Genomic DNA, 14,768 nt, shown 5'->3' on the forward strand with positions numbered 1-14,768 from the left:
TGGGATTTTATTCCTCTTTTATAATATTTTATTCCTCTATTATAATACATCTATAATACTATTTTAAAATATTTTTACAGAAAAAGTAATACAGGCTATACTTAGTTACTACAGGTAGATTCAAAGTTGTGGTGGATCTTAGAGATTGATCCAGGCTCAATAAAATAGATGACATTCATGTTCAGTAGTTTACCCAAAGTCATAGTTGTATTAGGAGAAGAAACAATAGGAATTAAAATCAAGCTAGTAAAAAATCAAAATAAAAACTCAGAGCTATTTAAATTCTCTATCCCTTTCCTAGACACCCATCTACTCAAGGAATATGAGATAAAAGATACTGAGTAGCACTTCTGAGAGCCTCTCTGGTTCATTCTGAATAGAACTTATCTGATTAACCCAAAGATGTCACTGCCAACCCAGACTTTATACAAGTATAAACCAGAGTTCTCCTCCAAACTACTTAGAACGAGGGTTTGCCTCCTCAAATTCTGGAATAAAAACCTTGACTTCTGACTTATCAAGAAGAATCCAACCATTAACTCATGGCCATTCAGAGTTGCTGCCTCCCTGTGAAGGGAAGAGACAACTAAAATGCTCAAGAGCTCATTGCAAGCAGCAGAAATGCAACTCTGAGGCCGGGCGCAGTGGCTCACACCTGTAACCCCAGCACTTTGGGAGGCCGAGGCGGGCGGTTCACAGGGTCAGGAGATGGACACCACCCTGGCTAACATGGTGAAACCCCGTCTCTACTAAAAATACAAAAAATTAGCCAGCTGTGGTGGCGGGCACCTGTAGTCCCAGCTACTTGGGAGGCTGAGGCAGGAGAATGGCGTGAACCCAGGAGGCAGAGCTTGCCGTGAGTGGAGATCGCGCCACTGCACTCCAGCCTGGGACAAAGCAAGACTCCATCTCAAAAAAAAAGAAATGCAACTCTGATGTGTCCCAGGAGTCGCCCAAAGGAAAACTTAAGAACCAGTACTCAAGGCACCACTATTAAGATCCTGGCAACGCAAGTACAGGAATCAGGAGGGAATTGAGGGCCCTTTACAGGACTTGCCATGCATATTTTGCCACTAACAAATAAGAGCAAACATGACAATCTTTTGCCTTTCTTCATGGGGACAATACACTAAGGGAATCTGATCATTTAAAAACAAGAGGCGGGGCACGGTGGCTCATGCCTTAATCCCAGCACTTTGGGAGGCCAAGGCGGGTAGATCATGAGCTTAGGAGTTCGAGACCAGCCTGCAATATGGTGAAATGCTGTCTCTACTAAAAATACAAAATTTAGCCGGGCATGGTGGCAGGCGCCTGTAGTCCCAGCTACTTGGGAGGCTGAGGAAGGAGAATCGCTTGAACCTGGGAGGTGGAGGTTGCAGTGAGCCGAGATCGTACCACTGCACTCCAGCCTGGGCAACACAGCAAGACTCTGTCTCAAAAAATAATAATAATAAATAAAATATTTTTAAAAATAAAAACTACAAAAAAAGCTTAAAAAAAGAAAAATTAGCTATAAATCTAAATAAAACATAATTCATGGCCAAGTAATAAAGTCATAATATAGTCAATGAAGATTATAACTTATAATCTCCAAAACATTACTTCTCTCTTTACTCAGGACTTTTAAAAAAAAAAAAAACCTCTATCCCTCACAGTGCCTAGCACTAAACAAACACCCAGTGTGTATGGGACTACTTAATTGAAGGAATTTCATTTCAGTTCCTTTTGCACATTTAATCTGCAGGAAAAGGGATTGTTAATGGAAATTCCTGGATACCAAGACAGGCTGTTAACTTTAGTGTTAAAGCCGCTCCTTGCCAAACAGTTGAAGTCTAAAGCTACAATTTCTATTTATCATAAAACTCAAAATATTTGAGCTTTATTCTGAGTACAAAATTTAAATGATGACCCTATGCCCATTCCAAGCAACTGTATTTACCTTAGCCATGACTTCTGGATCTGGTTCTTCCACAGGGTCAGCCCATTCAACTGTAACTACATTTCCCCACACTTTTACTTTTCCACTCATCAGCCGGCGTCTGGCTTGTGCTGCTGACTTGTGATCCTCATATTCAAGGAAGCAGAACCCCCGATTCTTCTTTTTGTCATCGGGTTGATGATAGAGAATAACGTCCACCAAACCCTCTGTTAAACCAACAGCCAGATATATAAGCCAAAAGCATCCACCACACATCTAGCGATTAGGCAGACCTAAATCCACTTGACGATGAGCAAAATATAAGTGAAGCAGCCTCAACATGAGTCACTAATTTTGTAGACAATTAGATCAACATAATTAGATATGGGGTTTGGGACAGTATTTGATGTTCCTTTTTAATTTTAGGGGTTCTGAAGGTACAGCCATATACAACAAATCTACTATATTCTGACATTTAACATGCTACAATGTTTTAGAGCGTTTGATATAACATGACTTTATTAAAGCACTAACAAGGATCTTAAAAACAAAATTAGTAATATAAACCCAAGAGAACTAACTTTTGACAACTAATCATGGCCAAAAATCTTCCTTGAAGCTAACTTAAAAGTTACTATTTTTACCAAGAATGGAAGTGATCACTAAATATTAGTGTTCCTCTGGTCTTAGTCCTTTGCCCTTATCTCTCCGTATGTGTTCTTTCTAAATAATGTCAGCTAGCCCTACTTTTAAATGTTACCTATACCCTTATAAATACTTAGATTTTTTTCCTACCCCAGACTTCTCTAAGCTCTAGATGTGCCTACGTTCTTACCCGATGTATCCTCTTTGATGTCTTAGACATTGCAAATTTAACTTTTCCAAAACTGAACCACCATGGCCAAAATCTGCCTTCCCTAGACTTCCTATCTAATAAACAGTGCCATCCACCTGGTTCTGAAGCCAGAAATTGGTTAGCCATTCTTGATTTCTTCCTTCATCTCTCCTATCCAATTCCAAACTCATTTACTTCTTTCTATCTCCACTGCTATTACCCTAGTCTAATCCTGTATCTGTACTAGTATGACAGCTTCAACTAATTTATCAGCTTCCACTCACACCCCTTCTCTCCAAGCCCCTATCCACAGAGCGCTAGGAATAATATCCCATAAACAAGAAATAGGTGTTATTTCCTGCTTAAAACCTTTAAATACCTTCTCATTATATATACAATAAAAACCCAACTCCTTACATGGCCTACAGAAGCCCTGCCTACTTCATTTCATACAACTCTACTCCTAATTCTACCTTTTAATAATACTGGCCTCCTCAGTTACTGTAATATACTGACTTCTTTCTTGCCTTGGAACCTTGGCACGTGTTGCTGTCTTGGAATGCACTTCCTTTTGCTCTTTGTATGCTACAACCTCTTCATCCTTCAGGTGCTGGTTGACATGTCATCTTATCAGAAAAGTCTTCCAAAACCATGGAAACAGGGATAGTAGCTATTCTCTAGCTAAATATCCTGTATTTCCTGCTTCAGTGTCTTATCACAATGTCTAAATATTCCTTTAATTTTTATTTTTTATATTCTTGGTCTTATCTCCTTTCTCAGGATATAGGATCTATGAAAGCAGAGAATATGTCTCTTAGCCATCAGTGTATCCCAGGCACATAGCACAATGCCAGCACTTAACAGGAACTTTAATAAACACCTGCTGAAAGAATGAATAAATGATCATGAAGCCAGAAGGAGCTATAGATAATAAAGTGATGAGGTCAAAGAACTGTGCCAGCAGTTGACAACACAATACTTGACAACACAATATAGCGGGTGGTAGCAGTGGTTACAAAGTGGGACGCTAGAAATCAAGAGTTCAGAGTGCATAGAATTTCTGGTGACTAGATCCAGAATGTAATCTGGATATGGTGGAGCTGAAGTAAAGGACTAAAGATGAGGTAGACATAGAAGTAGGTAGGAGTCTAAAGCCCTGGATGGTTCACCAATGTAGATGTTAAAGGTATTAGAAAGAAGCCAATTTAGGGCAGAAGAGGAAGACAGTGAGCCAGAAGCAATCTTTAGATTAATGAAAGGCTGAAACCACAAGAGCAACGAATGACAGCTTCAACAAAAGGGAAAGGATATGTCTGGATGATAAAAATGTAAAGAAACAGTGGTTTTTACAAGGGGAGGCAGCGGTCTAACGCAGTGTTTTTAAATCATAGGTAGTATTAGATCACAATTGGCATTTTAAAAAATGAAATAGAATAAGAAATATCAAAATAAATCATGTATAATAAATAAAAGTACAGTTTTGTTAAATTGTTTCAGTTATATATAAATGTGTATAGAACTGTGATATAAAATCTACTTCTCAATCAATTCCATGGATTTAGAATTGGATATTTAAAAAAATCTGATCAGCCAGGCACTGTGGCTCACGCCTGTAATCCCAGCACTTTGGGAGGCCGAGGCGGGAGGATCACCAGAGGTCGGGAGTTCTAGACTAGCCTGACCAACATAGAGAAACCCCGTCTCTACTAAAAATACAAAATTAGCCAGGCGTGGTGGCACATGCTAGTCCCAGCTACTCGGGAGGCTGAGGCAGGAGAATTGCTTGAACCAAGGAGGCGGAGGTTGCAGTGAGCCGAGATCGTACCATTGCACTCCAGCCTAGGCAACAAGAGCGAAACTCCGTCTCAAAAAAAAAAAAAATCTGATCTAGACAAGGCAGCAGGGAGAGAGTAAAAACTTTCATCCTCTTGGTCCTAAAATACACTAATTGTCAAGGGGAAAAAAAGCATTCACTTGAGGGCTATAGAGCAAAAGCTCCAGCAAAAGCCAAGGTTCAATTAAGACAAAGAAGTGAAGGGGACATTCCAAGAAATGAAGGATATAAGGGAACTTGCTTAAACCCAAACCACTATAAAGCAGAAAGGAAGCAATTTAGATACTTCAGACCTGAATTCTTAATTTAATACATACAACCCCTCAGTTTTTTTGAGCACTTGTAAGTAGTACAACATATTTCGCAAAAGTAATTTCTAAATACATTTTTGTTTTACCTGTGACTTTACTGAATTCTTCCAAAATGTTTTCTTTAGTCTTATTCTTCGGAATGGATCCAACAAAAAGTCTGTTGTTTGCCACAGAAATGCACACTCCAAGGTGTTTACCAGGGCGAATTTCATAGCTGTCACACTGCAATAAGAAAAGAACCAGAGACCCCAAAACCACCCCAAACTCAGGACAATTGATCTTAATCTAAAAAATTCAACAATTTAAGGCCAAACGCTCCCTGCTTCATCAACTCACCAAGTTCCCTCATGCTTTCCATAATATGAATGTATATTTTAAACTTCATTGTTACAGTCTCTTGTTTTAGTTTGGTTTTGTTAACCTTCACTACTCTTCCATATAAAAAGGACTCACTTTATTGTTTAAAATATCTTATTTCATATTTTAATTTTATCTATCTGAAAATGTTTTTCCACAGATTTTTCAGAAAAAAATACCTGAGACTGATCATTCAGGGTCCTTGGAAATGTAATTGCATATAGGTAAGCCATACTCAAAATAACAATATGTAAAGGGTAACAACTATGTTTAATCAATGCAAAGATATTAGAAAAATTTCAAATTCTACAGAAGTCACAGAATTCTAAATATATAGTTTTAAATTGTCTACCAAACACAATACTTTCAAAATTTTATAAAATTTTGAAAAATGTTTTATTTAAATCACTATAGTGGATTTTCTTGATAAATTGTAGCCCTTTTTTTTTTTTCTTAAGATGGAGTCTCGCTCTGTCATCCAAGCTGGAGGGCAGTAGCATGATCTTTGCTCACTGCAACCTCCACCTCCTGGGTTGAAGTGATTCTCCTGCCTCAGCCTCCCAAGTAGCTGGGACTACAGGCGTGCGCCACCACGCCCAGCTAATTTTTGTATTTTTAGTAAAGACAGGGTTTCACCACGTTGGCCAGGCTGATCTTGAACTCCTGACCTCAGGTGATCTGCCTGCCTCAGCCTCCCAAAGTGCTGGGATTACAGGCGTGAGCCACCACACCTGGCCAATTTTAGCTTCTTATACTTTAATATTATTTAACCATTAGTTTACTAAGAGATATGATTATTAAAAATAAAATCATCCATATGCTGCCAAAAATGAAAACTTAATATTAAATAAACAAGTTTGAAGAAAAAATCCATAATAAAAACTAAAATCTGGGTCAAGCTAGGAGTGGAACTAATTCAGACACCAGTAATGAAACCAAAGCCTTGATGAAAGAAGTTGACCATTCTACAAAGGCTAGAACTAGACTTAGTGAGGTCCTCAGAAGTCAGGCAAGGGTATGCCAAAAAATAATTACATTGTTATTTTAAGATACTGAGATAGCTGTGTCTTAAATACAGCAGGAGTGAAGATACATTTGATTTGCAGAACTTTGTTGCTACTACTACTGGTCTGAAATGAGCACCAAGTGGTTAAAGGCCCTAGAGAAAGGAAATTAATATGAGACTGGCTATAAATAGTAGGAGAGGAGAGAAAGATTAAAGACAGAGAAGACTCAAGGGCCAAGAAACATACAGGAAGAACAAAAATACACTTAGAAAATATGAAATAAATCGTATGAGTAGGCTGTAACCAAAATAAAACAGATTCACAACTATTTTCTGAATTGAATCCTAAGTCACTGTCATCCACTATTATGTTCCCCACAGCCCATTCCAGTCTTCATTATACTTTAAGAATCCTAAAGTTTAACATCAAGAATTGACATCCTTTTGCCTAAAACCAAAAGACAGAAATGCATAAGCCAAATACTCATATGAAACTTCTGATATCAATCTAATAGATAACTTCTTAAATCAATGGGAGACTTTCTATAAAACATTACTTTTTGGGTATTTTCAGTTCTTTTTTACTTTTATAGTCAGAGAAAAATAAACGTCACATACCAACTTGGTCAGTATAAAAACATTCCAAGCAACAACTGAAGAAATCAAAATAATGTTAACTACAAACATTTTTGAATTAAAGTTTATTTCCTCAAATAGTGACTTGCTAAGACAGTGGATAATTATCACATACCAGTTTCACGGCTTCCTGTGCAGCTTCCTTTCCACAGAAGGTGATAAATGCATACCCTCTATTCTGACCGGACAGTGGATCCATCATAAGACGTAGATCCCAAATGGGTCCGGCCTTCTCAAAAAGGGGCACCAACTCATCCTCATATAAATCCCTTGGTATTTTGCCTACAAATACCTGAAATAAAACCCCCTTATTAGAATCCAACATAAGCATTTGATTTTAGAGCCATAAAGCCTACTGCCTTTTTTTTTTAAAGATGGGGGCAGAAGAAGATGGTTAAGAAAGAATGGAAACAATCTGAAACTTACAGTTGACTTGCAGAGCTAATCCTAATTTTTATTATAATGACCTTAGGGTTATCAAAGAACAAGTCTCTTGAAAAATGGAAACTAATAAGAGTGTAAAATTTGTATTTACTCTAAATTTTAAATTTTTATAACTTGACTTTTTCTCATAAAAACAGAATAAAGGAGGCTGGACGCAGCAGCTCACGCCTGTAATCCTAGCACTTTGAGAGGCCAAGGAAGGCGGATCACTTGAGTCTAGGAGTTCAAAACTAGCCTAGGCAACATGGCAAAACCCCATTTCTATTATTTAAAATTAAAAAATTAATTTATAAATTAAAAATAAAAATGAATAAAAATAAAATAATTGAATAAAAGATTGACATAGCTCTCCTCAAGTTATCTCCTCAACTCTAAAATCTTTACTACTTAAAAAGCAACCTCGGCCGGGCGCGGCAGCTCACGCCTGTAATCCCAGCACTTTGGGAGGCCGAGGTGGGTGGATCACAAGGTCAGGAGATCGAGACTATCCTGGCTAACATGGTGAAACCCCGTCTCCACTAAAAATACAAAAAATTCTCCGGGCATGGTGGCAGGCGCCTGTACTCCCAGCTACTTGGGAGGCTGAGGCAGGAGAATGGCGTGAGCCCGGGAGGTGGAGCTTGCAGCGAGCCGAGATCGTGCCACTGCACTCCAGCCTGGGCAACAGAGCAAGACTCCATCTCTAAATAAATAAATAAATAAATAAAAAGCAATCTCAATATTTTTCAGAAACTCCAGTGCTTCAATCTATTCCTCTCTCTATCCAGATATTAAATATTAAATTTTAAGGTATGAAAAAAAACCTCTTCACCATTTGAAGAATTTGTGATCTTTAATTACAAAATTATATACGATTAAATTATAATATACAATGATAAATTAAAAATTATACAGTCAAAAACCCTCATTTGATACCAGATTACAATTTTCTTCAAGTTTTTCCAATGTAAGCAACATTAAAAATGTTTTATGTTGGCCGGGCGCGGTGGCTCACGCCTGTAATCCCAGCACTTTGGGAGGCTGAGGCGGGCGGATCACGAAGTCAGGAGACCGAGACCATCCTGGCTAACATGGTGAAACCCTGTCTCTACTAAAAATACAAAAAATTAGCCGGGCGTGGTGGCCGGCGCCTGTAGCCCCAGCTACTCAGGAGGCTGAGGCAGGAGAATGGCATGAACCCGGGAGGCGGAGCTTGCAGGGAGCCGAGATCGCGCCACTACACTCCAGCCTGGGCAACAGAGGGAGACTCCATCTCAAAAAAAAAACAAAAAATTTTATATTAAAACATTTGTAATCCACAAAGTCTGAATGAGTAAAATTAGTATTTGCATGACAAATTTTCTAGTGAAACTCATCTACATCACCATTTCACAGTCTGAAAAATAGCTGGAATAATAGGTAAATATAGAAGTAATAATAGCAATCCAATCCAAAATATGCCGACATTATTATGGACATTAAGTTTCTGAAGTTAAGCTCTACAACAGATGTACTATCTAGAGATAATCCTTTCCAAAATAATCAAGACTCACTTTCACTGCTATCTGGTAAAACTTGAGGTATTCTTTTGACTCCTTGGCATGATTCTCACACAATAGTTATTGCAATTCTTCTACCTCCTTAAGGTCCCCAATCCTCATTCACTAAACCTCATTCTAAGGATATCACCTGAGAAAGTCATTGGTTTCTTCATATTCTTACCTCTCACAATGTCTACTTTCACTTCTATCGCACCTCAGAGAAAGAGATCTACCTCCTTTCTAAGGTTAACTCCTTAGCCACAATAAATAAGCCCATTTCTTCTTACCACTTTCTGGAAATAACTGCAAATCGTTATTCCTTCAACTCTCATATTTTGCTCAGTACCATCCTTCCCTTCCCACTGGCTCCTTCCTGTCTCCAAACAATCCAAAAACAAAACACAACAAAACACCCCTTACTTTAGATTGTATTATATTTATTTCCTTTCACTGATAAATGTTTGGTTTGTTTTTGAGACAGGGTCTCACCTTGTCGCCCAGGCTGCAGCGCAGTGGCATGATCATGGCTCACTATATCCTCACACTCCCAGACTCAAGTAATCCTCCCACCTCAGCCTCTCAAGTAGCTGGGACCAGAGGCTCTTGCCACTATGCCCAGCTAATATCTGGGGGTGGCGGTTGGGGGAAGAGAGAGGCTCTCACTATGATGCTCAGGGTGGTCTCAAACTCCTGGACTCAAGTGATCTTCCTGTTCCTTTCTTGGCCCTCCAAAGTACTGGGATTACAGGTGTGAGCCACTGCGCCCGGCCTGTTTTGAACACGCCATCCGTACGTTTTTTTTTTTACTCACACAGTTATTATTTTCAACACATCTACTACATGCTTAATACCGTGAAGCCAAAGAGAAGTAGAAACAAGACATCTATGGCATCATCACAACTAGGGATACAAGATACTGTTATATGTGATTTAAGTGATGTCCCTGCAGAACAATCTTTGTAACAAAAACATACTGAGAAAAGCACACAGCATCTATGTTCTCTTTAACCCTCTATAATTGGCTTCTTCCTCTAACTCGAGCTGTATACCCAGATGTCACTAATAAACTTCTAATAACCAAATTCAAGTCTTTTTCCAGGCCGGGCACAGTGACTTATGCCTGTAATCCCAGCACTTTGGGAGGCTGAGACGGGCGGAATACTTGAGGTCAGGAGTTCAAGACCAGCCTGGCCAACATGGTGAAACCCCATCTCTACTAAAAATACAAAAATTGGCCAGGCATGGTGGCAGGCACCTGTAATTCCAGCCACTCGGGAGGCTGAGGCAGGATAATTGCTTGAACCTGAGAGGCGGAGGTTGCAGCGAGCTGAGATCGCGCCATTGCACCCCAGCCTGGGTGACAAGAGTGAAACTGTCTCAGGAAGAAAAATAAAAGTATTTTTCCCCCTCAGTTCTCATCATCCTTGCCTTCTCTACAAGTATTAACACTGGTGATGCAACTACCACCGTCAAAACCTTTTCTTACCTGAAGTATTCAGAATACCAATCTCATCTTTATACCTTGAAATCTATGATGAAGACATGTTTGTAACAAATGATTTTTTCTAAAAATCAAAATGATTAAAACCCAGCCTTGTCAACTGGCTCCTCTGATTGCCCCCGTCTACCTTTAGAAGAATATAATTTCTGTTTCTCTCCCCTCCTAGCCCCCACCTCCAGGTGACTGAGGAACTACTTCCATAAACAGACATCTCAGATGTTTTCAATTCCTCCCATTACCACCCATATCCAATTAATCTTTAAAGTATCTGCTTGAAGTTGCTCCACGTAAATGCCTAGCCTATACAAACACATGGCTCCCACCCTACTCAGAACTTGTATAATACAAATCTTTCAAGAGACAAGTAATTAGATATACCTTGGACTCATGTGCCATATATTTTTCTAGATTCTAGAAATATAGTGACTACCACAGACAAGGTCTAGGCATTCATGAAGTTTATATTCTACTGAGAGAGACAGACAAAAGTAAACAATATGGGTCATGCGCAGTGGCTCATGTGTGCAATCCTAGCACTTTGGGAGGCCAAGGTGGGCAGATCACTTTAAGTCAGGAGTTTGAGACCAGCCTGGCCAATATGGTGAAACCCTGTCTGTAACTAAAAATACAAAAAATTAGTCAGGCATGGTGGCACAAGCCTGTAATCCCAGCTACTCTGGAGGCTTAGGCAGAAGAATCACTTGAACCAGGAAGGTGGAGGTTGCAGTGAGCGGAGATCACGCCACTGCACTCCAGCCTATGCAACAGAGTGAGACTCTGTCTTAAATAAATAAATAAATAAATAAATAAATAGTGATTATATGATTTTAAGAGGTATTAAATGTTAAGAAGAAGGAAAAAACAGAAAAAGGGGCTAAATGATGGGGCTGAGTTTTCACTAGGAGGGCTTCCCTACAGGGGTAAATTTGAGCTGAGATCTAAGAGAAAATTAAGTAAAAACCTGAGGAAGGTGAGGGGGCAGTGTCTCATGCCTATAATCCCAGCATTTTGGGAGGCCAAGGCAGAAGTATCACTTGAGGCCAGCCAGGAGTTCTAGACCAGCCTGAGAAACACAGCAAGACTCTGTCTCAAAAAAAAAAAAAAAAAAGAAAAGAAAAAAGAAGTCTGAAGAAAGAGCATTCCAAGTTGATGGAACAGGTACAAAAGGCCATGAGATGTGAGATGGGAGTACACTCAACATATCTGAAGAACAGCACACAGGCCAATGGCTAGAATGAAAGTGACAGTGGTGGGAAAACAGAGAACGGGGCCAGAGTAAGTTAAACCATGGTTAGGCATTTCTGCTCCCAGATGTGTTGGGAAGCCATCAGAGAGTTTAGAGCAGAAAAATGACTGGGTATGACTTATGTTCTAAAAGGTACATTTCAGCGATTGGGTAGAAAATGGATTGTATGGAGAAATAGGCTGACTGGTCAGGTGAACAGGGCAATCTGGGAAAGAGATGAAAAGTGGCTTGGTATAGTAGGGTGATAGCTATGAAGGTGGTAAGAATGTGAGCAACAGTGAGTTTTCGGTTATACTGGATTCAAATCTACATTTTAGTTACCTTGAGCAAGTTTCGTTTTTTGTTGTTGTTGTTGTTGCTGTTTTTGAGATGGAGTCTTGCTCTGTCGCCCAGGCCGGAGTGCAGTGGCGCCATCTCGGCTTACTGCAACCTCCACCTCCCAGATTCAAGCAATTCTCCTGTGTTGGCTTCCTGAGTAGCTGGGACTACAGGCATGTGCCACCACGCCTGACTAATTTTTGTATTTTTAGGAGAGATGGGGTTTCAACATGTTGGCCAGGCTGGTCTCGAACTCCTGACCTCAAGTGATCTGCCAGCCTCAGCCTTCCAAAGTTTTGGGATTACAGGCGTGAGCCACCGCACCCGGCCAAGTTTCTTAAGCAATGAGTCTCAACTTCCTAGTGTGGGTTGGGCATGGTGACTCACACTTGTAAACCCAACTCTCGAGGAGGCCAAGGCAGGAGGATTGCTTGAGCCCAGGAGTTTGAGACCAGGCTGAGCAACAAAGCGAGACCCTGCCTCTATAAAAAAATTTAAAAAATTGGCTCAGTGTGGTGCCATGTACCTGTAATCCCAGTTACTTGGGAAGCTAAGGCAGGAGGTTCCCCTAAACCCAGGAGTTTGAGGTTGCAGTGAGCTACGATTGTGCCACTGTACTCCAGCCTGGGCAAGAGTGAGATCTTGTTTTTATAAATAAATAAATATAGAAGAAACATCAACAAATCTGTGGCCAATAAAGTCCCCAATACTATAGTCACGTGAGTCCATGAAGAAACAGACCACGAATCGAAAACACTGGTTTATCTAAGAAACAGGAAATATCTTCATTTCAAGATCAATTTAACTTAGGACCTAAAAAGAATTTAAAAGGCTAAAGTTTTCAAAAACTAATTCAGCACTGTTCCTTTTAAAGTTTTTAAGCTCAATTTTTAATTAACTAAAATGAAATAGGAATACTTTCCTTTTATTAACTTTTTAGTCTCTGAGTCATTCTGGATCCATGTGAGCCCTTTCAGAGCAAGCACTCAGTCATCTTCAGGTAACCCTCCTCCCTTTTCAGAACCAACAGAATCTACTGAATACCACAGTAACATTTCTTTCTTCACTCACTGGCCATGAAGACCCAGAAAAAGTTTTAGCTGTCTACAATTTATCCATCAAGTACTTCAACAGTAATAAAGGAAGTAACCAAGTCATTCAACAGTCTTTTCTTTTTTTGAGACAAGGTACTTGCTCCGTCACCCAGGCTGGAATACAGTGGCACAATAACAGCTCACTGTAGTGACCTCCAGACTCAACTGATCTTTCCACCTCAGCCTCCCAAGTAGCTAGGGCCATAGCTGTGCGCATGCCACCATGCCTGGCTAATTTTTTATTTTTTATAGAGACAGGGTCTCCTTATGTTAGCCAGGTTGGTCTCAAACACCTGGGTTCAAATGATTCTCCTGCCTCAGCCTCCTGAAATGCTAGGATTACAAGCATGAGCCACCACACCCAGCCAACAGAGTCTTTTGGGTATCTATTAGGATTCTTATATTATCTAGCTCCTATTTACATTTGCTATCTTGCAAATATATCAGTTTCTCATACATAATACAATTCAGGTGCCACAAAGTCATATACTTTAGGGCTCTGTTAAATACACTGGGGTTCTGTGACACCACCATGAATAAACCAAAGAATGAGATCTCAATCTACCATTTCTTTTCATTACTCTGCAAAACATCAGTGGTAGGCTCTGCAAACAGATAAGAATTTATTATACACAGTCATGACCTCCAAGAATACTGCTTACATTAATGGAAACGAGTACAAACAGAACTTGGCCAGGCGAGGTTGCTCACTCCTGTAATCCCAGCACTTTGGGAGGCCGAGGCGGGTGGATCATGAGGTCAAGAGTTTGAGACCAGCCTGGCCAACATGGTGAAACCCCGTCTCTCCTAAAAATACAAAAATTAGCTGAGCATGGTGGTGCATGCTTGCAGTCCCAGCTACTTGGGAGGCTCAGGCAGGAGGATCGCTTGAACCTGGGAGGCGGAGGTTGCAGTGAGCCGAGATCGTGCCATTACACTCCAGCCTGGGCGACAGAGTGAGACTCCATCTCAAAAAAACAAAAACAAAAACAGAACTTGCTTCCCAAAGCAGCTTAACAATACTAGCTGAAGAATACAAAAATACTACAACTAGAGTAGGTCTGAGAGCTCAGACACACTAAAAAATATATTTCAAAATTACTACCTATCATCCTTGCATATTTCTCATCTCAGAACAATACTTAGCAACAATGTCTGTTAATGAGTGCTCATCTAATGGGTTAATTTACAGATTTTACCCAAAAATGAGATATCATAGTCCTCTCATAATTTTAATACTGCACAGTCTCAGGCACTGACTCTAACTTCAACCTCCTCAATCAAGACCTAAAAATGTTTAATGATGACTGAAAGAACATATAAAAGAACAAAATCCAAACCTCACAACATCAAAAATCACAATTAAAACCAATTTATTATATCTACTAGCAACACATTAAAAACCTACTTTTCCTGAGTTTTCAAAACTTTGTCAACAAGTACTTGCACAATCTCATGAACTTTAACTTTATGAGAGAAATCTGAAACTTTCCATTAGGACTTTGCTGAAAGTGATTGCTTGACAGGAGTGGTTTTAGGCTAGTGATCACATATAGGGATTTTGCTGGAATCATATTTGCTGTATACAACAACATTTAACATACAGAAGAATGCATCTTTCTCCTAAAGGAACAATGCAATCTAAGAGAATGCGTATGTGTTTTACAATTAACATATCAACTATTTGTTTCGAATTGGTTATCTCCGAGTTTATTAGGCCAGACATGGTGACTCACGCCTGTAATCCC

At 39.7% G+C, this 14,768-nt stretch overlaps 1 protein-coding gene across 23 annotated transcripts in view; it reads right to left on the reverse strand.

Annotated features, from left to right (window-relative positions):
- HNRNPR (heterogeneous nuclear ribonucleoprotein R) overlaps positions 1-14,768 on the reverse strand; it is a 39,597-nt gene that overhangs the window by 11,856 nt on the left and 12,973 nt on the right. For 9 of the 23 annotated variants that reach the window (NM_001297622.2, NM_001102397.3, NM_001297620.2 and 6 more), the window contains 3 exons: positions 7,013-7,189; positions 4,985-5,120; positions 1,940-2,145 (listed from right to left, as the gene is read on the reverse strand). In NM_001297622.2, coding sequence (NP_001284551.1) covers positions 1,940-2,145; positions 4,985-5,120; positions 7,013-7,189 — 519 coding nt within the window. Of the gene's footprint in view, positions 1-1,939; positions 2,155-4,984; positions 5,121-7,012; positions 7,190-14,768 lie in introns of all 23 variants that reach the window. The other 14 variants (XM_011540476.4, NM_001102399.3, NM_001102398.3 and 11 more) reach the window with 3 other exon arrangements.

The sequence above is a fragment of the Homo sapiens genome, chromosome 1 (genome assembly GCF_000001405.40).
Source record: "Homo sapiens chromosome 1, GRCh38.p14 Primary Assembly".
Taxonomy (NCBI): Eukaryota; Metazoa; Chordata; class Mammalia; order Primates; family Hominidae; genus Homo; species Homo sapiens.